At 40.7% G+C, this 25,407-nt stretch overlaps 1 protein-coding gene and 1 pseudogene across 1 annotated transcript, besides 3 other annotated features; one reads left to right on the plus strand and one right to left on the minus strand.

The window, feature by feature from the left end:
- On the plus strand, positions 7,504-8,144 carry LOC100133316 (required for meiotic nuclear division 1 homolog (S. cerevisiae) pseudogene; annotated as a pseudogene).
- C9orf40 (chromosome 9 open reading frame 40) lies at positions 19,033-25,362 on the minus strand. Its single transcript, NM_017998.3, has 2 exons — positions 24,636-25,362; positions 19,033-20,656 (listed from the first exon to the last, which is right to left on the minus strand). The coding sequence occupies exons 1-2, from the start codon at positions 25,059-25,061 to the stop codon at positions 20,498-20,500; spliced, it is 585 nt and encodes a 194-aa protein (NP_060468.2). The 5' UTR covers positions 25,062-25,362; the 3' UTR covers positions 19,033-20,497.
- Positions 24,254-24,323: an enhancer, noted in NCBI's record as "active region_28468". NCBI's record gives its function as "activates an Ori minimal core promoter by ATAC-STARR-seq in GM12878 lymphoblastoid cells {active_cell/tissue: GM12878}" and the evidence as "EXISTENCE:reporter gene assay evidence [ECO:0000049][PMID:35858748]".
- Positions 24,654-24,863: a silencer, noted in NCBI's record as "silent region_19951". NCBI's record gives its function as "represses an Ori minimal core promoter by ATAC-STARR-seq in GM12878 lymphoblastoid cells {active_cell/tissue: GM12878}" and the evidence as "EXISTENCE:reporter gene assay evidence [ECO:0000049][PMID:35858748]".
- Positions 25,134-25,343: a silencer, noted in NCBI's record as "silent region_19952". NCBI's record gives its function as "represses an Ori minimal core promoter by ATAC-STARR-seq in GM12878 lymphoblastoid cells {active_cell/tissue: GM12878}" and the evidence as "EXISTENCE:reporter gene assay evidence [ECO:0000049][PMID:35858748]".

Genomic DNA, 25,407 nt, shown 5'->3' on the forward strand with positions numbered 1-25,407 from the left:
AAGCAAGCAAGCAATCATTTCAGCAGCAGACACCAGCTGGGTGTCCCCCAGTTGAGTTCTGACACGGTCTTCCTGGAGATAGCGTCAGATCCCACAGGTTGAGGGCTCTCCCCGCAAGACTGTCCGTCCCCTCCTTCCCTCCAGTTACAAGTCCGGGCCTTCGGAACTTCTGACTGACTAGCTTCAAGTTGGAGTTCCTATGAGTCCCTCTTTGGGTTAATTTGCTAGAGCGACTCACAGAACTCAGGGAAATACTTACCTTCACCAGTTTATTACAAAGTAGATTTTAAAAGATACAAATAAACAGCCAGATAACGACATACACAGGGCCAGCTCTGAAAGGGTCCTGAGTGCAAGAGCTTCTGTCCCTGTGGAGTTGGGGTGTGCCACCCTCCCAGCACACGAATGAGTTCTTCTTCACCTTCCTGTTGGCCTCCAAGTGTTCAGTTCCCCGGAAGCTCTCTGAACTCCCTCGTTTGGGCCTATTACGGAGACTTCATTGGTTGTTCATGGTTGAAGCACGAACAATCGTGGCGAAATGTGATTGGATAGCCGGGCGCGGTGGCTCAGGCCTGTAATCCCAGCACTTTGGGAGGCCGAGGCGGGTGGATTGCTTGAGGTGAGTAGTTTGAAACTGGCCTAACATGGTGAAACCCTGTCTCAACTAAAAATATAAAAATTAGCTGGGCATAGTGGCTGGCGCCTGTAATCCCAGCTACTCGGGAGGCTGAGGCAGGAGAATCGCTTGAACCCGGGAAGCAGAGGTTGTAGTGAGCTGAGACCACGCCACTGCACTCCAGCCCAGCAACAAAGCAAGATTTCGTCTAAAAAAAAAATTAAAAAATAAAAATAATTGATTGCACAAAAAGGGTGTGATCTAAACCCAGCAAGGTCTGTCTGTTCAGTTCAGATTCTTCTTGCTCTCCGTGCAGCATTCCTTCCTCCAGAGTATGCAGCAAGACCGTATCTGGAATGAGGGTCTTACGACCCACAATCAGATTCGAGTGCTGCCTTGGGACTCTAATGAAAAGAGGGCAGGAGAAGGTCAGAGGGAGTGATTCTGTCACTTGAGGCCTACTTATGAGTCTTAACAAAAGACCGTAACAAGGGCTATGGGAGTTATGAGCCAGGAACTGTGGATGAAAACATATATACATATTAGGCTGGTGCAAAAGTAATTGCAGTGTTTAAGTTCTGTGAGCTGCACAGTGGCTTGCACCTATATTCCCAGTGCTTTGGGAGGCCAAGGTGAAAGGCTTACTTGAGGCCAGGAATTCGAGACTAGCCTGGGCAACATAGCGAGACTCCTGTCTCCACGGATAATGAAAAAATTAGCCAGACATGGTGGTTTGCACCTGTAGTCCTAGCTACTCAGCAGGCTGAGGCAGGAGGACTGCTTGAGTCCAGGAGTTCAAGGTTGCAGTGAGCTATGATTGTGCCATTGCACTTTAGCCTGGGTGATGGCATGACCCTGTCTTAAAAAAAAAATTAATTAATTTAATTAATTAATCTTCCAGAAAAATCTTCCAGAAAGTAGGGCAAAAGACAATAATTTGAAAAATAAATGGAAAAGCTATGAAAACTTGTAGACCAGCCCAAGAGTCCTAAGATAGAGAGAAGGGAAAAAACAGAGTCAAGGATATTATCAAGAAATTGATTCAAGAAAATTTCCCAGCATATAAGTCTAAATTCTAAATTGAGCATCCATCACAATGGATGAAAAGGAATTCAAATTATTGTGAAAGTCTACAACAGTGGGAAAAAAAAAAGCCCCTATAAGCTTTTGTGATAAAAATGTCATACAAAACTGAAGAATCAGAAAAGTATTGGATAACTCAATGGCAACATTGGAAACTAGGAGACAATGGTCCAGTGGCATCAAAAGTTTGAGGAAAAATTATTTCCAATGTAGAGTAACACATTCAGCTAGACAATAAAATGCAAAAGTGAATAAAAATATTTTCAGGTGTTCAGAACCTGAGATTTTCCTAACATTCTCACCTCTTAAGATTTACTAGAGGACTGGCTCCACAAAAACAATGGAATAAACTGAAAATGGAAAGTATGGTGTTCAGGGAACAGGGGAGCCAATATGAGAAAAAGTAAAAAGAATCCACAGGGTGAGAGGGAAAGGAGGCCCCAAAACAAGGGCTGTGCAGTAGGTGCAATGAGCAACTAGACAGAATTGAGCAGGCATGGAGAATGTGGGGAGATTTTCTTCAATAAGTTGCAAATGATAAAATACCTAGAACATGTTGAAAATAATTTACTAATCGGGGTGGGGGGAGATTGGGCTTGAAATACTAGAAAATACATAGACAACTAAGCAAGTTAAAAAAAAAAAAAACTAATTCCAGGAAAAGAATAATCATGGTGATATGGGTTGGCTGTGTCCCCACCCAAATCTCATCTTGAATTGTAGTTCCCATAATCCCCACATATCGTGGGAGGGACACAGTGGGAGATAATTGAATTACGGGGGCGGTTACCTCCATGGTGTTCTTGTGAGAGTGAGTGGGTTCTCAAAAGATCTGATGGTTTTATAAGGGTTTTCCCCTCTTTTGCTTGGCACTTCTTGCTGCCACCATGTGAAGAAGGACATGTTTGCTTCCCTTCCACCATGATAGTGAGTTTCCTGAGACCTCCCCAGCTCTGTGGAACTGTGAGTCAATTAAACCTCTTTCTTTTATAAATTACCCAGCCTCAGGTATGTCTGTAACGGCATGATAACAGACTAATACACATAGTATATTACAATTTCCTATTCTGTGCGGATAAGGAATCTTAGTATACTACGTATTCTCCTGTGAGTAGCATTTTCATAATACTGAAAATCCTGAATACGGAACTAGCCAAGGTTACAATATATCTATATGGAGAAATGTATGTGTGCGTATGTGTGGTGGGGGTGGCAAAAGGAGCTAAATTCTCAGCTTCCATGGTGAGTTATCAAAACAAAATACCTGAAGCTAACCAAGAAATAACAATAAAAACATGTTATTGAGGGATATAGAGCCATAAAATAAAATAATCAGCTGAAGGAATTGAACCTTGAACAAGCCAAGCAACACATATAAAAATGAACTTTAAAAAATAACAGTGAGCCGGGTGCAGTGGCTCACGCCTGTAATCCCAGCACTTTGGGAGGCTGAGGCAGGTGGGTCACGAGGTCAAGAGATTGAGACCATCCTGGCCAAAATGGTGAAACCCCGTCTCTACTGAAAACACAAAAATTAGCCGGGCGTGGTGGCAAGTGCCTGTAGTCCCAGCTACTCGGGAAGCTGAGGCAGGAGAATCACTTGAACCCGGGAGGCAGAGGTTGCAGTGAGCTGAGATTGCACCACTGCACTCCAGCCTGGTGACAGAGTGAGACTCCGTCTCAAAAAAAAACAAACAAAAAAAACTACACAGCAATGAAATCAGCCAGCCAGGAGATGAATTTTTTAAAATTGTGGGCCGGGTGTGGTGGCTCACACCTGTAATCCCAGCACTTTGGGAGGCCAAGGCGGGTGGATCATCTGAGATCAGGAGTTTGAGACCAGTCTGACCAACATGGAGAAATCCCATCTTTACTAAAAATACAAAATTAGTCAGGCATGGTGGTGCATGCCTGTAATCCCAGCTACTCGGGAGGCTGAGGCAGGAGAATGATTTGAACCCAGGAGGAGGAGGTTGCAGTGAGCCAAGATCACACCGCTGCACTCCAGCCTGGGCGACAGAGTAAGACTCTGTCTCAAAAAAAAAAAAAAAAAAAGTGTTTAAAAAAGAAACATCCTTGGAACACTAGAGGGCATTGGAAAATAAGAAATAAATACAAATTTAAAAGAGAAACATCTTGAGGTTTAGCAGTTTCTTCTATTTTATTTCAATTTCTTACCTTCTATTAAATTCAAGTAAAATTGCATGTAATACCTTTTATTTTAAGTGGCTTATTGCATGATAAGCCAATAAGCATTTTACAAAATTCTTTCTGTCTACCTTTCCTCTATGCATCTATATATTTCAATTCACCAATCCCTCTGTCCATCAAGAAGTTCTAGATGTGATGCTCATCTAGTGTTACTAAACATTACTTCTAAATTACAGTGATATCATAAAATTCTTTTTTGTATTTATCTGTGTTGCTTAAATTTTTACAAGTATGTTTCTTTTCAGTAAAGTCAAAGCCATTCTATTTTAAAATATTAAGAGATTTCAAGCTCACAAAAGGTCACAAGAGTATGTTAAAACAACACAAGAGTGTTCTAAACAACGTCATACTGAACAGGCAAAAACTGGAAGCATTCCACCTGAGAACTGGAACAAGGCAAGGATGCCCACTCTCATCACTCCTATTTCAAGTAGTACTAGAAGTGCTAGCCAGAGCAATAAGGCAAGAGAAAGATAAAAGGCATTCAAATAGGAAAAGAATTCAAACCATCTCTCTTTATGGAAAATGTGATCCTATAGCTAGAAAATCCTGAAGATTCTGCCAAAAGGCTCCTGGAACTGATAAAAACTTCAGTAAAGTTTCAGGATACAAAATCAATGTACAAAATAAATAGCATTTCTATATACCAGTTACGTTCAAGCTGAGAGCCAGAGGAAGAATGCAATCCCATTTAAAATAGCCACAGGCACAAAATAAAATACCTAGGGACACATCTAACCAAGGAGGTGAAAGATCTCTCCAAGGAGAACTAGAAAACACTGCTGAAAGATGTAAAACGTGGCATAAACAAATGGAAAAACACTTCATTTCTAATGAATTGGAAGAATTAGTATCATTAAAATAGCTGTATTGCCCAGAGCAATCTACAAATTCAACACTATTCCTATCAAACTACCAACATCTTTTTGCAGAACTAGAAAAAACTATTCTCAAATTCACAAGGAACCAAAAAAGTCCCCAAATAACCATAGCAATCCTAAGCAAAAAGAACAAAGCTGGAGGCATCACATTACCCATCTTCAAAGTACACTATAAGGATTAGGTAAACAAAACAGCGTGGTACTGGTACAAAAACAGACACATAGACCAATTGAACAGCATAGAAAACCTAGAAATAAAGCCACAACATTGGATCTTTGATAAAGCTGACCAAAATAAGCAATGGGGAAAGGACTTCCTATTTAATAAATGGTGCTGGGATAGTGGGCTAGCTACATGCAGAATGAAACTGGACCCCTACCTTTTACCATATACAAAAATTAACTCAAGATAGATTAAGATTTAAATGTAAGACCTCAAACTATAAGAATCCTAGAAAAAAACATAGGAAACACCATTCTAGACATCAGCCTTGGGAAAGAATTTATGGTGACTAAGTCTTCAAAAGCAATTGCAACAAAAACAAAAATTGACAGGTGGAACCTAATTAAACTAAAGAGCTTCTGCAGAGCAAAAGAAACTATCAACAGAGTAAACAGACAACCTACTGAATGGGACAAAATATTCACAAACTATGCATCCAACAGAGGTGTAATATCCAGAATCTATAAGGAACTTAATTGAACAAACAAAAAACAAATAAACCCATTTAAAAATGTGCAAAAGACATGAACAGACGTTTCTCAAAAGAAGACACACAAGTGGCCAACAAACATGAAAAAATGCTCCACATCACTAATCATCAGAGAAATTCAAATCAAAACCACAATGAGATACCATCTCATGCCAGTCAGTAGGGCTATTATTAAAAAGTCAAGGTCAAGTTCAGTGGCTCACACCTGTAGTCCCAGCACTTTGGGAGGCCAAGGCAGGTGGATCACGAGGTCAAGAGATCGAGACCATCCTGGCCAACATGGTGAAACCCTGTGTCTACTAAAAATACAAAAATTAGCTGGGTGTGGTGGCACGCAGCTGTAGTCCCAGCTACTTGGGAGGCTGAGGCAGGAGAATCACTTGAAGCTGGGAGGCACAGGTTGCAGTGAGCCGAGATCACGCCACTGTACTCCAGCCTGGCGACACAGAGACTCCGTCTCAAAAAAAAAAAAAAAAAAGTCAAAAAACGACCTGGTGCAGTGGCTCACGCCTGTAATCCTAGCACTTCAGGAGGCCAAGGTGGGTGGATTGCCTGAGCTCAGGAGTTTGAGACTAGCCTGGGCAACATGGCGAAACCCTGTCTCTACTAAAAATACAAAAAATTAGGCAGGCATAGTGGCACATGCCTGTAGTCCCAGCTACTCGGGAGGCTGAGGCACAAGAACTGCTTGAACCTGGGAGGTTACAGTGAGCTGAGATCGTGCCACTGCACTCCAGCCTGGGCGACAGACAGAGCGAGACTCTGTCTCCACACACACACACACACACACACACACACACACACAAAAGTCAAAAAACAACAGATGCTTGGCAAGGCTGCAAAGAAAAGGGAACACATATACATTGCTGGTGGGAATGTAAATTAGTTCAGCCAGTGTAGAAAGCAATTTGGAGATTTCTCAAAGAACTCGGAACTACCAATCAGCCGAGCAATCTCATTAGGGTATATATCCAAAAGAAAACAAATCTGTCTACCAGACAGACACATGCACTTGCATGTTCTTTGCAGGACTATTCACAATAGCAAAGACACAGAATCAACCTAGGTGCCCATCAATAGTGACTTGGATAAAGAAAATGTGGTACATATACACCATGGAATACCATGCAGCCATAAAAAAGAATTAAATCATATCCTTTTCAGCAAGATGGATGCAGCTGGAGGCCATTATTCTAAGGGAATTAATGCAGGAACAGAAAACCAAATACCACGTTTTCACTTATAAGTGGGAGCTAAACACTGGGTACTTAGGGATATAAAGATGGCACAGTGGAAACTGAGGACCTCTTGGGGGAGGGGAGGCAAGGGGCAAGGGGCAAGAGTTGAATAACTGTTGGGTTATATGTTCAGTACCTGGGTGATGGACTCATTTGCACCCCAGATCTCAGCATCATGCAATATACCCAGGTAACCTGCACATGTAGCCCCTGAATCTAAAAAAAAAATTAAAGAAAAAAAAAGGAGTGCTCTAAAAATCATGTGAATTTGGAAAAAAATAAATACAGGTTTAGCCACTTTCAAATATTAGTTCGATTTAACAAAAAAAATGATGAATTCAAATATATGTGTATACCTGTAGGTAAGAAGCAATAAGCCAAAATAATAACTGTGGTTGTCTCTGGGAAATGAGATTTTGATTTTTTCTATATCGTTTTGTGCCTTTGTAAATTTCCACAATGGGCACATATCATTTAAATAATCATAAAAACAGTATTCATTATATAAAAAATTAATAAATAGATTAGTTAAGTACAGATAGAGAGTTATGTACTAGGTTAACAACTTTGCCTGCTAGACTTTACAAATGCTTGTTTAACAATGGAACACAGTAATCAAAGAATACCCAGAAAGCTTAGGGTGGGAATGCTTTTAGACACTATTGAATACACCCACACTTTTGCACCTGCAGTTTTACAGGCTCAAATGAGAAAACCTATCATGTTAATAAAAATAAAAATATTGGAGGGAGCGCCCTTCCAGGAGAGGGGGTGGCTGCCGTAGTGACAGCCTGGTGCTGCGGCTCTTTCCCTGCAGTCCTGCTGAGGAAGCGTGCATCCCTGGTGCTTCCTTCTCTTCAGGCGGAGAACTTGGGATGTGGTAATGCCAGCCATACTTCTCAGAGCCGTGGCCAGATCTCACCGTATATTATCAAAAGCACATCAGTGCAGAAGAATTGGTCATCTAATGTTAAAACCACTTAAGGAATTTGAAAATACCACATGCAGCACACTGACAATATGTCAAAACTTGGATTTGTTCCTTCCTGATAAAACAGCTGGTGGTTTGAATAAATCTCAGATCCTCGAAATGAACCAAAAAAAAAAAAAAAAAGATCAAATACTAGCATGCTCTCTCCATTAAATGCTGCTTGTTGCCAAGATGAAAAAGCACACCTTCCAACCAGGAAATCCTTTGGTACTCACAGGAGAGTGACCCACAAACCAAATCTATTGGGTTCTAAATGGTTTATTAAAATATTAAAGAGGCATTTCTTATCTGTATCAATGGAAACATTTGTTCCAAAACAAGACTTTCCACAGATCAAGAGACCACTAAAAGCATCCAGGACCAGGCAGCCATCCAGGACCAACCTTCCCGTTCTGTCTGTGAACGAGGTAAAGTGGGGGTGGCCGCGGCTCTTGTGCTTAGTGATCATTGCCCACGCTAAACCAGTGTGCGTTTGCACCCCAGCCTTACCACCAACATAAGAGAAATGGCAGTCAACTCAGACTTCTTCATCAAGATCTTTGAAGCATAATAAATATTCAAAGGGATTCAAAATCTTAATTTTTAAGAATTAATGATACATATAAAAACAAAATACAGGCAATAAAACATGAAAATATAGTTTATAAAAGATTTAGTTATTGGTCTAAGGAAACTGAAAAAGAGGACTAGTATTAAGTCCAGTCTAAGAATGGAACTGTAAAAAAACAACACAAAACCCATTAGAAAAAAAAAAACTAGAAATTCTTCATCAAATTTAAAAAAAAAATAGTAACTCTGCAGACAGATAAGCCTTTATTAGCCTGTGGCAACTGTGTGTGAGGCGGTGAAATGACACACTAGGATAGACTCCAAAAGCAGCAGGGGAAGAGGGCCTTGCTTTTTTATCCTCTTAAGGTTTAAGGGGGTATTTTTTATTCATCTGCAAGGGGTTTATGGGAATTTTTCTGCTACAATTTGCATTTCTCCTTTAATAGTAATTTAAGGGTCAAAATCAAGCCCCTGGTAACCTTTGTATCTTGCATAATACCTAGAACTGTGCCTTGTACTTAAATGTTTATTAAATTGGAAAAGATCGGAAAGAGGCAAGAGGATCTTTAATGTCGATAGTCATCAACATTAAAGATATTTTAAACTTGATGAAGACTTCTGAATCTATCAGAAAACAGGTTAGAATGTCTGTCTTCAAGTCTTGATTCTGAAACGTAACCCCTGAGCCTGTTTAATTTTGGCTGTGTTTTTATTATGGTGTAGCTGACACCCCTTAGAAAGGTATACATACGTTTACTCATCCTCAGATCCTGAAGCTAGGAATTAACAAATGGTTTTTGTGTTGGATTCTGGAATGGTTTCAATTCTTGTATGGTTTCTGTGAACCCAGGATGTGAAGGATGGAAGCATTGTGCAAGTATTGTTCCCCCTTTCCTTTTGCTGGAGCTTTGGGGTAACCTGGGAAATTCAGTATTTAAGTGTCCAAGATGACATTAAGTGTAAAAACCTGAATTTATGGCAGATCCAAAAAAGAGAAAGCTCAACTCATTTTGTTCTTTTGTTACATCTAGCAGCACAGTGCATCAGGTTTCTTAGGAAGGAGCTGATACAGCCAGAGAATTCCCTAGGCTCTGTTTCTTTGGGCCATCCCTTAGACTTGGAAGCAATTTTCCTAAATACCATTTCTTATTTTTCTTTAGGATTTTTTTTTTCTACTTCCTTCCAGGAAAGGATTTGAAGTAATTTTCAACATTCAACATAGTTTCAAATGAGATAATAAATACTATCACATATTAGTCAAAGCAAATAGTTGACATGAACAGAGAAATAAATGTTATAAAATACCTGAAATGAATAATCTAGTCGAATGTTTTGTTTTGAGAGGCCCAGTAATTAAAAGAGGAAATCGTCCTGGGATTTATTGTTTGCTGTTTATTGTTGTGGGGGAGGGCAGAGTAAAAACATAAAAATATCTTAAGAGAAATAATTTTTTCCGGCGCTGAAATTAAGGAGTCAGTTATTTCGTGGGTCCTGTTATAGAAGATATTATATAACACGATAGACAATGACTTCAGTCGGAGTTTGGCAAAAAGAAGCCTATGCTGTCTTTCGGAAAGCACAGGAAAATAATAGAAAATCATATGTTTCTGGCTGGGTGGTGGCTCACGCCTGTAATCCCAACACTTTGGGAGGCCGAAGCAGATTACTTGAGGTCAGGAGTTCAAGACCAGCCTGGCCAACATGTTGAAACCCCATCTCTACAAAAATACAAAAATTAGCCAGGCATGGTGGTGGTGTGTGTCTGTAATCCCAGCTGTTTGGGAGGCTGAGGCAGGAGAATCTCTTGAACCCAGGAGGCAGAGGTTGCAGTGAGCCAAGATCAGGCCACTGCACTCTAGCCTGGGTGACAGAGCGAGACTCTGTCAAAGAAGAAGGAGAAGGAGGAGAAGGAGAGGGACATATGTTTCTAAAGTGACCTGAGATAACTTGAAGATTTTACTTTTCATAGAGAAAGCAGTCTTGGCATGACTAGGTAATATGTCCCCAGGACCAAGACTGACTTTCATCTGCCCCAAATTGAGGGCCACTCCATTTTCATACGGCCACCATAGTGCTGGTAAATCCTTTATACAACTCTTGACTGAGACAAGGAAAAGACTCTGCTTTGTGTCAGAAAGCATGTGGACTTTGTTTTGTTCCCATAGTTGCACCAAACTCATTTTGTTTAGCCCTGCAGAACAGCATGCATCTGGAGTTGGCTGAATGAGGTTTCAGTGATGCTCTCTGTCAAAATTAAATCTTTACCTGGCCTCATTTTCAGAGATCATAAACTGAGATATTCAACCCACATCCCATTGGCTTACAATTCCTAAAAGCAATAGTGGGTGCAGTGGCTCATGCCTATAATTTCAGTGCTTTGGGAGGCTGATGCAGGAGCACCGCTTGAGGCCAGGAGTTGAAGACCAGCCTGGCAACACAGCAAGACTCCCGTTTCTAAAAGACTTTTTTAAAAAAAATTAGCTGGGTGTGGTGGTGTGCACCTATAGTCCTAGCTACTCAAGAGGCTGAGGTGGGAGGATCGCTTGAACTCAGGGGTTCCAAGCTGCAGTGAGCCATGACTGTACCTAACTCCATCCAGCCTGGGCAACAGAGTGAGACTCTATCACTAAACAAACAAACAAAAAAACAATAATAGCAGTACTTCTTGTTAATGTCTAGTCTTTGAAGAGAACAGCAGAGGATGGGAAAGGCAGGTCTGAGTGGCGTAGAGCCTGACACCAGGGAGAGAGTTTCCAGGCTAATAGCACAGGGTGTTACAAAATCACTAGTGAATTGTTAACCATTTTTTTGAAAAATGAAATAGAATAGAAAATAACAGAATACACTGCTCATGATAAAGGTAAATATTGGTTTGTGAAGCTTTTGTGGCAATTATTGGTGTGTAAGCATATATGTGTATATGTACTGTATATAATTATTTCTTATCATAGGTTGTAGTAAAAAAAACTTACAAGGTAAAGCATAATACTGGTAATGTAAAAATATAAAAAATAAAAATATTGTCTTCAATTTTTAATAAGCATTACAGAATTTTGTATTAATGCTCTCTGTAATTCTGATAGTCACCATCTTTCATTTAAAGAGCAAGCCAATGTATTTTAATCAGTTGATTAAAAATATGAACTACTAGATGGAATAAGCTATGAATTCAATTGTTAAAATAAACATAGGACTGTTTAGGTTATCATTTGTTTCTTTAATATGTCTTGGCAGTTTCCACCTTTAAAAAAATTTGTCCACTTGATCTAAGTACTCAAATACTATTTTTAAAATTCTAAATGTTAAAAGCAATACTATTTTTAAAATTCTAAGTGTTCAAAAGACTCATTAAGCCTTAGAAATATTCTAATAAAATGTCCAGGAATAAGAAAATCTTGGACTAAAAACCAAAATGAGCAGGCAAACAAAAAACAGAATTAGCTTATTATAAGGACAAAATAATAATGTTTATATGTATTACACTTATTCTAGTAGTCCAGAGAGGGATACATATATTTTTATATACTGTCCTTTTCATATATTGTTAGATTTGTCAATATTTTGTAGAGGATCTGTGTGTTTATGTTCATGAGGGATATTGTATTGATCTATAGTCTTCTTCTTCTTCTTCTTCTCCTTCTCCTTTTTTTGAGACAGAGTCTCCCTCTGTCACCCAAGCTGGAGTGCAATGGCGCCCAAGCTGGAGTGCAATTGACTCAACCTCCGCCTCCCAGGTTCAAGCGATTCTCCTGCCTCAGCCTCCTGAGTAGCTGGGATTACAGGCACACGCCACCACGCCCAGCTAATTTTTGTATTTTTAGTTAGAGACGGGGTTTCACCATTTTGGTTAGGCTGGTCTCAAACTTCTGATCTCATGATCCGCCCGCCTTGGCCTCCCAAAGTGCTGGGATTACAGGAGTGAGCCACCGCGCCCGGCCGCTTTCTTCTTCTTGTAATATGTTTGTCTGGATTTGGTATCAAAGTAATGCTGGTTTCCCGAAGTGAACTAGAAAGTAATTCCTACTATTTTTCTGAGAAATAGTACATTTCCTCCTCAAATGTTTGGTGGAATTTTCCAGTGAAATTATATGAGTCTGGAGTTTTATTGTTAGAAGATTTTAAGCTATGAATTCAATTTTTAAAATAAACATAGGACTGTTCAAGTTATCTATTTGTTTCTTTAATAAGTCTTGGCAGTTTACACCTTTAAAGAAGTTTGTCCACTCAAATTTATAGGAATAAAGTTGTTTGTAATATCTGGGACACCAATGACATGAATATTGTACATTTTGATATTGTCTTAAAGGTTGATGAGGGTCTGTTCATTTTTAAATCTTTTTTCTTCCTGTTTTTCAAATGGTTTTCAAATAATTTCTACTGGCCTATTTTCAAGTTCACCGATTTTTCCTGTCTTCCTAATTCTGCTGTTTAGCACATGTACTGCATGTACTGAATCTTTTACCTATTGTAATTTTTTCTTCTCAAATTGCCATTTGATTTTTTCTTATAGTTGATTTTTCTGAAAAATCATATCTTTTCATTAAGTTTATTTTCTTTATGGATTATAAATCGCTTTAAAATCTTTGATAATTCTAACATTTGTGTCATCTTGAGTTTGGCATCTATTGATTGCCTTTTCCCTTGAAAACTAGTCACATTCTCCTAATTCTTTGTGTGTCAAGTATTTTGGATTTTGTCCTGGACATTTTGAATATTATGTTGTGAGAATCTGGGTCTTTTTAAAATCCTCTGGAGAATATCGATTTTTAAATGAGTAATCAGCCCAGTTAGGTTCAGGCTTTAAGTTCTGTCTGTTCTTCTGTGAACACGGTTCTAACGTCACTTAAGTTTTCAAAGCCTTGGCTATGCTGCCTTGGGACTGTCCCACACATGTATCACCCTCTGGCGTTAGTATGGAGCTTGGGCAGAAGTTTATATTGCAGTTTAGTTCTCAAAGGCTTTGCTAGGTGGCTTTCAATCTGTCTCCTGTATCTGTACCTCAGGGATGAGGCTGGGACCATTGCCAGTTTATAGACAGAATCATGGGACCCGTAATCCAGTCCTCTCTGCTCCAGAATTCCTCCTGCTCTCTCTTGCTCAAAGTAGTTCCCCCTTTCTTGGTCTCCTGGCCAAAAAAGATAGGTTTTTATCAATTTCTGCTGTTCATACTGCCCACTGCATTTCTGCTAGATGCTCACTCTTGCTTCAGAGCTGGGAGAGACAGGAAAAAAAATGAAACCAGAAAACTGAACTCTACATGAGTTTCTTTGCCCAGTTCGACTTCCATTCCCAATCCAATAATGCTTTCATTTACTTTTCAGAGACTACTGGTGTACTCTAGCCAGAGCTTTTACTTGTTTTTGTTGTTGTTGTTGTTGTTGTTGTTTGTTTGTTTGTTTTTATTGAGACAGAGTCTTGCTCTGTTGCCCTGGCTAGAGTGCAGTGGTGCAGTCTTGGCTCACTGCAACCACTGCCTCCTGGGTTCAAGTGATTCTCGTGCCTCAGCCTCCCAAGTAGCTGGGATTACAAGCTGCGCTACCACACCCGGCTAATTTTTGTAAGTTTAGTAGAGACAGAGTTTCACCATGTTAGCCAGGCTGGTCTTGAACTCCTGACCTCAAGTGATCCACCTACCCTGGCCTCCCAAAGTGCTGGGATTACAGGTTTGAGCCACTGTGCCCGGCCACTTTTACTTGTAAGTGGAGAGACACATGGGGTATAGTAACTTACTTGATCAACACTGAAAGTCCTTTTTTCACACTTATTTTTAAGCATTTTTCTATACCATTAAAATTTTTAAGAATACCATCTTATCATTTCATTATATTCCACTATATGTATTTTAATTATGCATCGATTCTCTTAAACCATTTTTGTTGTTGTTGTTTTTTGTTTGTTTTTGTTTTTTTGAGACCCAGTCTCACACTGTCACCCAGGCTGGAGTGCTATGGCACAATCACAACTCACTGCATCCCTGACCTTCTAGGCCCAAGTGATCCTCCCACCTCAGCCTCCCCAGTAGCTGGGACCACAGGCATGTGCCACCATGCCCAGCTAATTTATTATTATTATTATTTTGTAGAGACGGGGTTTCCCTATGTTGCTCAGGCTGGTTTCAAACTCCTGGGTTCAAGCAGTTGTCCCACCTCGGCCTCCCAAAGTGCTGGGATTACAGGAGGGAGCCACCATGCACAGCCCAAAAGCTATTTTTGTTTACTTCTAATATATTACTATTATATATAACACTGTGACATAAATTTGCATCTTGTTTTCTGATTATTTAACATATATTTTTAGATACAGAATTACTAGTTCAAAGATCACAAAGATGGGCTGGGTTCAGTGGTTTATGCCTGTAATCTCAGTGTTTGGGGAGGCTGAGGCAGGAGGATTACTTGAGGTCAGGAGTTTGAGACCAACCTGGGCCTGTCTACAGAAAAAAAAAAAAACATAGCCGGGCACGGTGGTGCATACCTGTGGTCCTGTGGCTACTCAGGAGGCTGAGGCAGGAGGATGGCTTGAGCCCAGGAGTTCCAGCTGCAGTGAGTTATGATGGGACCACTGCACTCGAGCTTAGGTGGCAGAGTGAAACTGTTTTTGTCTTTGATTTCCCTTGAGTTGGCCAGACTCTGTCTCTTAAGGAAAAAAAAGTCACAAAGCTGAAATTAAAGCACCAGCTAGTTTGTGTTCTTTTCTGGAGCCTCTTGAGAAGAATACACTTTCAAGTTCATTTATTTTATTGGCTGAATCTAGATCTTTGAAATTGTAGGGCTGAAGTTCCTGTTTCTTTGCTGACTGGCCGCTAGGAATCTCTCAGCTCCTAGAAACCACTCTCAGGTTTTTGTCCCCTGGCTCCTTCCATCTTCAAAGCCAGCAGGGGAATTACTTTCACATCAAATCCCTTGCACATTGTGCCTCTCCCTGTCTTCCTGTCTCTGACCACTCCATCCTTATTGAAAGGGCTCATGTGATTAGATTAGATCCACCTGGATAATCTCCCTATCTGAAGGTCAACTGGTTTGGGACAGTAGTTAGTCCATTCTTGCACTGCTATAACGAAATACCTGAGACTGGGTAATTTATAAGGAAAAGAGGTTTAATTGGCTCACAGTTCCACAGGGTATACAGGAAGCATAGCAGCTTCTGCTACTGGGGAGGCCTCAGGAAACTTATAGTCACGGCGGAAGGCAAAGGGGGAGTGAGTCATTTCACATGACAGGAGCAGAAGGAAGTGGGGTGGGAGGTGCCACACACTTTTAAACAACCAGATCTCATGAGAACTCACTATCATGACAGCTCCAAGGGGGATGGTGTTAAACCATGAAACCACCCCCATGATTTAATTACCTCCCACCAGGCCCCACCTCCAGCATTGGGGATTATATTTCAACATGAGATTTGGGTGGGGACACAGATCCAAACAGTATCAGGGACTTTAATTACATCTGCAAAATTCTTCACAGTAATGCCTCAACTAGCATTTGATTAAATAAGTGGATGTTACACCAGGGAAAGGGAATCATCCCTTAGGGACGATCTTAGGATTCTGCCACTACAGAGTCACATCAGAAAGACACAAGATACAACAATCAATACATATAAATTGCTAGAGTATTATTGTTTAGGTCTGTGGACTCAAGAGACTCCAATAGCTAAACCTCTTTAAAAGTGACCTTAATCAGAATGTTTGCCTCGGTTCACATCAGGTTTTGCCAGACATCACTAATAGTTATCTGTCAATCATACATCTATCAGAGATATAGCAAATACATACATTCCAAGTGCTACAGAGAAGGAAGAGGGGCCTGAAATGTTATTTAGTGTCCACTGAGTTCCCAACAGCCATCAGGTCATTCCATCCCCATTCTGCTTCTAAGATGGGTATCAGTGTCCTCATTTTCTGAGAATTCCGAGGCTCAAATTGTTTAGTGAATGACAGTGTTGCACAGCCAATACTGATTTCCAGCCATGAAACATGTAAACATTAAAGTCCACTGTCAACGTTAACCAGTATTCACACAATAAATAATAAAATATATTGAAAAGTGGGGCAAGGAGGAACAAGAGGCAACTTGAAGGGCCTCCAACAGCTAAATCTGGGATCTGTGCCACAAAATGATAGCAATGGATAACTCAGAATAAATTATTGCCCATTAGTCTATATTGGTATCAATAAATACCTGAATAAAGAAATGGGTGAAAGGAAAGCTCTTCCTTTATAGCAGGGGTCCCGAACCCCTGGGCCACAGGCCACTACTAGTCCATGGCCTGTTAGAACCCGGGATGCACAGCAGGAGGTGAGTGGTGGGCAAGTGATCAAAGCTTCATCTGTATTTATAGCCGCTCTCCATCGCTTGCATTACTGCCTGAGCTCTGCTTCCTGTCAGATTAGCAGCAGCATTACGTTCTCATAGGATTGCTAACCCTATTGTGAACTGTGCATGCAAGGGATCTAGGTTGCAGGCTCCTTATGAGTATCTAATGCCTGATTATCTGTCACTGTCTCCCATCACCCCTAGATGGGACCATCTAGTTGCAGGAAAACAAGCTCAGGGCTCCCACTGATTCTACATTATAGTGAGTTGTATAATTTTTTCATTATATATTACAATGTAATAATAATAAAGTGCAAAATAAATATAATGCACTTGAATCATCCCAAAACCATCCCCCACCCCCAGGACTGTGGGAAAATTGTCTTCCATGAAACTGGTCTCTGGTGCCAGAAAGGTTGTAGACCACTGCTTTACAGAATTCCAATTAATGTAGAAGTCATAATAAAAATAAAAAATTTTTCCTGATTTCCTCCCTCCTCCCACCCTCCACCTTCCAATACACCTCTGTGCATCATTCCCCTCTGTGTCCATGTATTCTCATCATTTAGCTCCCACTTATAAGTAAGAACACGTGGTGTTTGGTTTTCTGTTCCTGTGTTAGTTTGCTAAGGATAATAGCCTCCAGCTCCTGGATACTAGGCTTAATACCTGGGTGAAATGAAGTAATTCTGTACAACAAACCCCTATGACCCGTGTTTACCTATGTAACAAACCTGCATATCCTGCACATGTACCCCTGCAATTAAAAGTTAAAAAAAAATTTTTTTTATCAGCATGCAAGAAGAATAGAGTATCTTTCTTTTCTCTTTTTTTTCTGAGATGGACTGTTGCTCTGTCACCCATGTTGAGGTGCAGTGGCACAATCTCAGCTCACTGCAACCTCTACCTCCCGGGTTCAAGCAATTCTCCTGCCTCAGCCTCCCAAGTAGCTGAGACTACAGGCACACACCACCACATCTGGCTAATTTTTGAGTTTTTAGTAGAAACGGGGTTTCACCATATTAGTCAGGCTGGTCTCAAACTCCTGACCTCAGGCGATCCACCTGCCTCAGCCTCCCAAAGTGCTGGGATTACAGGCATGAGCCACCACACCCGGCCAGAATAGAGTATCTTTCTATACTCCTATAGACAAAGATATTACAAAATTATCATCCTATGAAAAGATAATTAGAGAGTAATCAGCCAAAATAGGTAAGGAGAGAAAGCATTATAGAGATCTGTCAGGTAGTTATATAATTTTTAAGTAAGCTATTTTTCTAAATTAAAAAAAAAATAGGAAATTACCATTTGACATATACCAGAGCAGTAAGGCAGTAAGGCAAGACTCATCAATCCTAAAATTTGTGGGCAGAGTATAAGAAATGGAGTATTTACTGTCTCAAAATATTTTCCCAGAAGGTAATAATTAATTACAAAAGGGAAAACAGTAACTTTACAAAAGAGAAACCTGGCAGACACCATCTTAACCAAGTAATCAATGTTATGATTACTGATCAGACAAGCTGAGATTCTTGTGCCTGTTGACATGATGCACTGATACATCAACATCACTTCCATGGAGTTCTTACCAAAAGGCATATTTTTAAGAAATATCAGACAAACCAAAATCGAGGGCTATCCTATGAAATACCTGAGCAGTGCTCTTCAAAAGGTACCTAGGTCATGAAAAGCAAAGAAATTCTGTTTTTAGATTAAAGACGACTAAGGAGATATTATAACTAAATATAACATGTGAACCTGAATTTGACGCTGGGCTAGAAAAAGAATAGGACAATGGTGAAAGTCGAATAGTCCATACATTTTATAATTGTTTTAGGTTTTTGACATATATCCTCTAAGAGTTGTCTGAAGTCATTCTTTCCATGTCCTCAAAATCACACAAGAGAATTTTATCAATGTTAATTTCCTGATTTTCATAAGTGTACTGTGGTAATTTAAGATGTTACATTAGGGAATTGGGGTGAAGGGTTATAACACATTTAAAAACCCACATTTTACCTCAATTTATCCACAATGAAATTTTGCTGTTACCTCAAGTTTACTTAGTAAACAACTTTTTTAAAGGACGGAATTATTTTAACTCTTTCTGTTTTCTATATATAGACTGCCCCTGACTTGATGGTTTGACAGGATTTTTCAGCTTTACCACAGTGTGAAAGTGATATAAATTTAGTACATTTAACTAACCATGGGGTTATGTCCTGATAAACCCATCGTAAGTTGAAAATATCATAAGCTGAAAGTTTCAATTCCAATTTCTATCCTGAAACTTCTAGAGGCAGTTAAAACTTTAACTATAGGCAGCATGTTTATTCTAATGATTTTTTTTAACCTACCTTAAGGTTATTATGAGAACTAAACAAGATGATGCAAGTAAAGTACTTATAACATTGCTTGACAATAAACAGTCTCTCTGAGGTAGATACTATTTATTATTTCTCATTTTACAGGTGAGAAATTTGAGGCTTGGAGATGAAAAATAACTGGCTTAAAGATACATAGGTAGGAAGTGGCAGTACAAGACTTTGAACCATGTCTGACCACAATGCAATACAGTTTGTCTTCTGTTCTAAAGCATTCTTATTAATGTCAACCCATTCTTAAATCCTTCATTACACAAAAAAAATCAAGTTTTTCTCTTTCCCTCTCAATGGCATTTACCATTTGTCTTGAATTTTGGATCTAATGTCATCAACAACAAAAAATGCAAGCAAGAACCAGTTACTCAATTGCAAAACCAACATTCTGGATGCAGTACAAAAGTTAGTTAACTTAATCACTGATACTCACATCACAAATTGCTTACTTTATTTCTTTAACAATGAAATAGTAATAACACAATAATTCAGTTGTAACAAAGCCACCAACAGAGCAAAACAAAAACAAAGCTAATTAAGAAGCATTGCTTCAGCTCAAATTAGTTATCTCCTTTAAACAGGAAAAACGACCATTAGTCTACTGGTTCTCAACCCTGTCTGCACATGAGAGGAATGGAGGGAAACAGGACAGGTGTTTAAAAAAATAGTTATATCCAAGACCCACCTCAGAACTATTAAATGAGAATCTCTCAAGAGTGAGGCCCAGGCAAAGATTTTTAAAGTGCTGTCAGTGTTGAAAACTACAGGTCTAAAGTAATAAGGAATAAAACCATGCCTCGAAGCAATTCAAAACCAAGAAGCTGATTATACAATAAATTTTTTCCTCTAATCCTGGGAAAACAGGGGGAAGCAGGCACCGATTCAGTTTTCATTTTTCTTTATCCATCTTCAGTTGCCCATAGTAGAGCTTAACCAACATCAAATATTGGAAGCTTTGCAAACACGCTACCCAAATTGAAATTATCACTACTTTACATTTAGAAAGCTCTTTTAAAACAATAGCTTTTACAACAATCCCGCCCATCTTAAGTTTGCATAGATGTTCAAGTCAGCTATTTGTTCAACTAACAGAGTCAATAGAATGTATTAGAAAGTACTTTATTAACAAGTTATTATAAAACAATATTCATTTTATATACCACAAATAAACTTTTTGGTGCAGATAGGAGGAATATTTGAGTTTTTCCCACCTATTTCTAAAACTGCTAGAATTTCTTTTTATAAGATCAGTACCTTCAATTCTAGAATTTAAACAAAACTTTTTGCTCTAAGAATGCATACATAAAATACTTCCCCTACAACTGTACTCTATCCTTGACAAATCCTTATTAAGAGGTTCAGTAGTAACTGTAGGTATTTAATGTCAGAACAATCTTTCTTCATTTCTCAGGTTTGGAAATATAACTTCAAGTATGGAAAATAACTTTTCCCTTAAGAATACGAGAATTCACTTAGAGACATCTCCTCAAATCAGCCAATCCCACTGCTTCGGCTCCTTACATCAGGACTCCATGTCAACCTCAGCCCCTTCATTCCTGCCCTGAAGTGTTGCTTCTGTCAGGGTGTCTTCACTTAAATCTTCAATGTCTGCCAGATCAATAGGAGGCAAAGGATTCCTCCAGTACTGGAAGGTATTATACTGCCAAAATTCTTCATTGTGCTTTAGAGAAAAAAGAGAGATCAAAGAGCATCAATAGCTTAGAAAAAATTAAGTTTTTTTCAGAAAACAAATTTGTTTTAAAGGCAAACTCATATAAGATTTTGTAATCTTCTATTTTGTATTTTTAACAAATATACATTTTAAATTTTGTCTCATCTAAGTACTTCATGTACTCGATGAAATCTGTGCATTTTAATATTTACAATTTGTGAAAGTATTTGTTAAATTTAAAGGAATTTCCTCCAAGAGCATCTCTTTCCACAGTTTTTCTCCCATTTTTCACCTAAAGAAAATTATCTAAAAAGTCTTAAAATTTTTTATCTTTCAAGAAGGAAAAGAAGAATTTATTTTAAAAATACAAACACAGACACACTCCTTATAACTTACTTTTGGTCTTGTTCTTAAGGTCTGGTATTTTAGGAGATTTACTTTACATAGGCCAAAATATTTTGAAATCTTCCAAAAAGTATTAGGTTATAAACATGACGAATAGCAAGAAAATGTTAAACTGATCATTTTATTAAAGATAAAAAAAAAATCAATGCTCAGTAGCCACATGACCTAGTGGCTACTGTGCTGGACAGCACAGGTCTGTAAGAAAGTCTCATTAGGAAGTTCACTGTCTTCTATGCTGAGCCTTAAAGAATTAAGTTTTGGGGGAATTTCTTAATATTGGGATAAACACACAATAAGTCAAAAGATATTAAGAAAAATTTCACTTTAATATTTTGGAAAATCTACTGTACAAATTATCTACTTATAAACATGGACCAAAAAAAGGTCTTTTAATTATGTTAGTAAAACATAGTGACTAAGGGCACACAAACTTTGCCACCAGACAGACCTGGGTTTGCAAGATAACTCCACCGCCCACTAACTCTGATCTTGACCTTATTGATAAAATGGAGGACTGTTGTAAAAATTCAGGCTTGGCATAGTAATTGCTCAATATTGCTAGGTATTATATCCCAATAAGCCTATGAATCATTAATCACTGTCTCCTTAGAGCATTTCTGCTTACTTTCTGTTAAGAATATCTAACAGTTGGCTGGGCATGATTACACCTGTAATCCCAGCACTTTGGGAGGCAGAAGGATCGCTTGAGCCCCAGAGTTTGAGACCAGCCCTGGCAACAAAGCAAGACTCCATCTCAATTTATGAAAAACAAACAAATAAACAAGAAACTAACAGTTAACACTGACAGAGCAGTGAATCTACATAGTGACACTAACATGAAAAAAATACATGAATATTTAATGAATACCTGATTTTATTTCTGTAGTCAAAAAACATCTGAAACAGGAAATACCCTGAAGTTCCGGGACAGAAATGACGTAACATTATCCTGCCTAGATTGTATTCTCAATGTAGAAAAAAGGTATTTGAGGTAGTATTTCCTAAATGAAGTCCCAAGGGTGAGGGCTGGGACTTAAGCCCTATTCTGAGCACAAAAGAAACCAGGCATTTACTGTATTGAACTGTTTACTTCTTTTTGTTATATTCAATTTTCCCTTGGTAATCAGGTATAAAATCCTTAAAACAAAAAGCCTGTGTCTTTGGAGGCAGGAAGGAGAAACAGAAGCTGGAGAGAGCATGATTGTAAAAGAGAAGCGCCTCCAGAACAAATCTAACAAAAAGAAGGAATAGGAGTGTTACTGGGCTTTCCTCAAAAGAGGGCCTGACAGTGGCTCACGCCTGTAATCCCAGCTATTTGGTAGGCAGAGGCGGGAGGATCACTTGAGCCCAGCCTGGGTAACATGGCAAAACCCCATCTCCACAAAAAAAAAAAAATTAGTCCAGCGTGGTGGTGTGCACCTGCAGTCCCAACTATTCAGGAAGCTAAGGTTGCAGTGAGCTGGGATGGTGCCACTGCACTCCAGCCTGGGCATGGGAGCGAGACCCCAAGACCCTTTTTTAAAAAACAACAAAGAGAACAAGGGTAGTCTTGGTGAAGAAAGAACCCCTGGAGCCAACCTTTTTCCCTGTCATGCGCTTGCAGCGACTATAGGAAGTAGAGAGCTGCCAGATCTAGTTACTGCTGTGGGGGAAAAGAGTTGAGTCTAAGACTAAGCAAGCATCACCGTTTCAGGCTACTAGAGAACTCTTACGCTTTGCCTACTGCCATTTCCATATTTCCCTCTTATCACTGTGTGGCATAGTATAGACAGTGTATTCTGTATTCTGGTAGGAGACAAGCCTATGCATGAGTGGAGTACTAAAATGGTCTGAAGAGCTTTCAAAAAGTTTTCAAACTACACAGTCCCTAATCTCCATATCCATTATGGATGGATGGTTTAGAAGACTATCCATCTGTTTTCAGTTGATTTTGAATATCTGAGAGCAATCTGAAGAAAAAGTTTAAATAAGGCTCATGTTTCAACCATAGGAAAAAAAAAAAAAAAGTCTTTCCCAACTATAAAACTCTCGTTATTTTATTGGATTTTTCACATGAACAAGTCATGCCTAAGAAATTTCATTTATTTTTTTGGAAAGGTATTTGAAAACCCTGACATAAGATACTTGAGAAAATAGAAAAACGTTGGGAGGATGCTATCAGACAGCTGAAGAGAATTTGGTGAATTCTGAGAAACCTGTACTTGGTTCTTCATCTCCCAAGTCCCCTGCCATTCAGGATTGTGAAAAAGTAGTATGAATTCCTAAGTCTAGACCAAAGCTGTCCAATAAATATATAATGCTCCAAAAACATAATTTAAAATTTTCTAGTAGCTGTATTTAAAAAGTAAAAGAAACTTCTGGTATTAATTTTAATATATTTTCTTCAATATAGCCAAGTTATTTCATGTGTAATCAATATAAAATTGAGCTATTTTATCTTCATTTATTAAATCCACGAAATTTCGTGTATATTTTAAACTTAGAGCACATTTCCATTTGGACTAGTCACGTTTCAAGTGTTCTTACCGGCTAGCGGCCGGGCAGCAGAGATCTAGGCAAACCGAGGCATACCTAGATCTTCTCAGGATTCTTACATGCAGAGATGAGGCAGGCTCATGTCTTGAATAAAAACCCGCCAATGATTCTCATATACGCCTTAAGGCCCAAATTAATTTTCTTTTTTCTTTCTTTTCTTTTCTTTTTTTTTGAGACAGCGTCTCACTCTGTGGCCCAGGCTGGAGTGCACTGGCCCAATCTCAGCTCACTGCAACCGCCATCTCCCAGGTTAAAGTGATTCTTGTGCCTCAGCCTCCCGAGTAGCTGTGATTACGGGCATACACCACCACACCCAGCTAGTTTTTGTGTTTTAATAGAGACAGAGTTTCACCCTATTGGCCAGGCTGGTCTCGAACTCCCGACCTCAGGTGATCCACCCGCCGTGGCCTCCCAAAGTCCTGGGATTCCAGGCGTGAGACACCACGCCCCGCCCCCAAATTAATTTTCAATGATACTTTTGCCTAGGATCAGATTTAACACTATGAGTTAAAACAAAGCTTTGACCAAGGTACGGTGGTCCATCCTTTTCTCCAGAAGCTGTACCAGCCGGTAGGACGTTCAATTAATCAATGGCTACCACACTGGTCTCCCTCTAGAAAAAGAACTCTATCCCGAATTCTAGACTAATCATCGTTAAACCCAGGAAGGCCCTCTACACCTTTATCTGTCGTTTGTCTTTGGGCTGAACCTATGCCCTGACGGTCTGCGTTCTCGCCATGCTCACAGCCCGCCACGACCCACGGTCCCGTTTCCCTTTTACGGAGCGCGGCGCTGACGCCGCAAGGCCACTTCTATCGCTCCCGACCACGGTCTGTTTCCCCCTCGCCCAGCCCAGTGCTTTCTGCCCATCGGACTCTCGGGGTGTGCTTCTGGCGGTCGGCGTCCTCTCCCGGAGCGGTGACCCCTTCTTTCAACCCCCTCAGGCGTCTTAACCTACACAAGTCATGAGTGGGAACCGGGGCGTTTTGTGTGTGTGGGGAAAAGGCAAGCCCCTTCGCCCCTCAGCCCACCCGCCCCCAGCCCCTACCTGGCGCGATGCGACCCCCCAGTCTCCCCGCGGGGGTCCTGCGCGCCCCGCCCCGTCGTCGCCACCGCCCCCCGGGAGCCGGGCGCCCGGGAGCTCCTCCCCCGGCCCCGGCAGTACGGGCGGCGGCGGCAGCGGCGGATCGCCTGTCTCCAGACCGTGGTCCTCACGCTCCTGGCCGCTCGGGGCGCTGTTGTCCCCGCTGTCACGGCGCTTGCTGGGCGAAGCCGAGGGCTCTGCCATGGTCCCTGCGTCGATTTTGCGCTTTCGGTGCTGCTCTGGGACGCCGAGGAGCTGCCCAGCATGCGCGACCCCGGGCGGCCGGATCCAGAGAGGCGGTGGCGGCGGCTGCTCAGCGAAGTCGCAAAGCAGGAGCCGCTTCCAAGGCACGTGGAACGTCACCGGCTCGGCCGCACGCCGCTTGGCCATGGGCCCAGAGGCTCGGGCGGAGCCCGCCAGGCGCGGGAGACCGAGTGCCGATAGCTGCGGGGGGCGAAGAGCGAGGACTGAGCGCGTGAGAGAGGGACAGGCCGAAGTCGGGCGAGGAGGCGACAGGACGCTGGAGGGGGTAGGGCGGGGCAGCTCGCGCAGGGCCTAGGGCTGGGGCTCCGGCTCGGAGGCAGCTCCCGCGCTCAGCCCTCGCCGCCGCCGAGATGCGGCCCGGACGTTGAGAAGCAACCGCGAAGCGGCGGAGATTCGAACCTGCGCACAACGTGCGCGCGCGCACTCTGTCTGGCCAGGCGGAGCCGCTGGTTGGTGGAGGCTCGCGGGGCGC

The sequence above is a fragment of the Homo sapiens genome, chromosome 9 (assembly GCF_000001405.40).
Source record: "Homo sapiens chromosome 9, GRCh38.p14 Primary Assembly".
NCBI classification, from domain to species: Eukaryota; Metazoa; Chordata; class Mammalia; order Primates; family Hominidae; genus Homo; species Homo sapiens.

Coding starts and splice junctions, on each gene's coding strand:
- C9orf40 (NM_017998.3), bottom strand. CDS start 25,061: ATGGCCAAGCGGCGTGCGGCCGAGCCGGTGACGTTCCACGTGCCTTGG. Junction 20,657..24,635: donor GGGGGGTCGCATCGCGCCAG/GTAGGGGCTGGG, acceptor TTTTCTCTAAAG/CACAATGAAGAATTTTGGCA.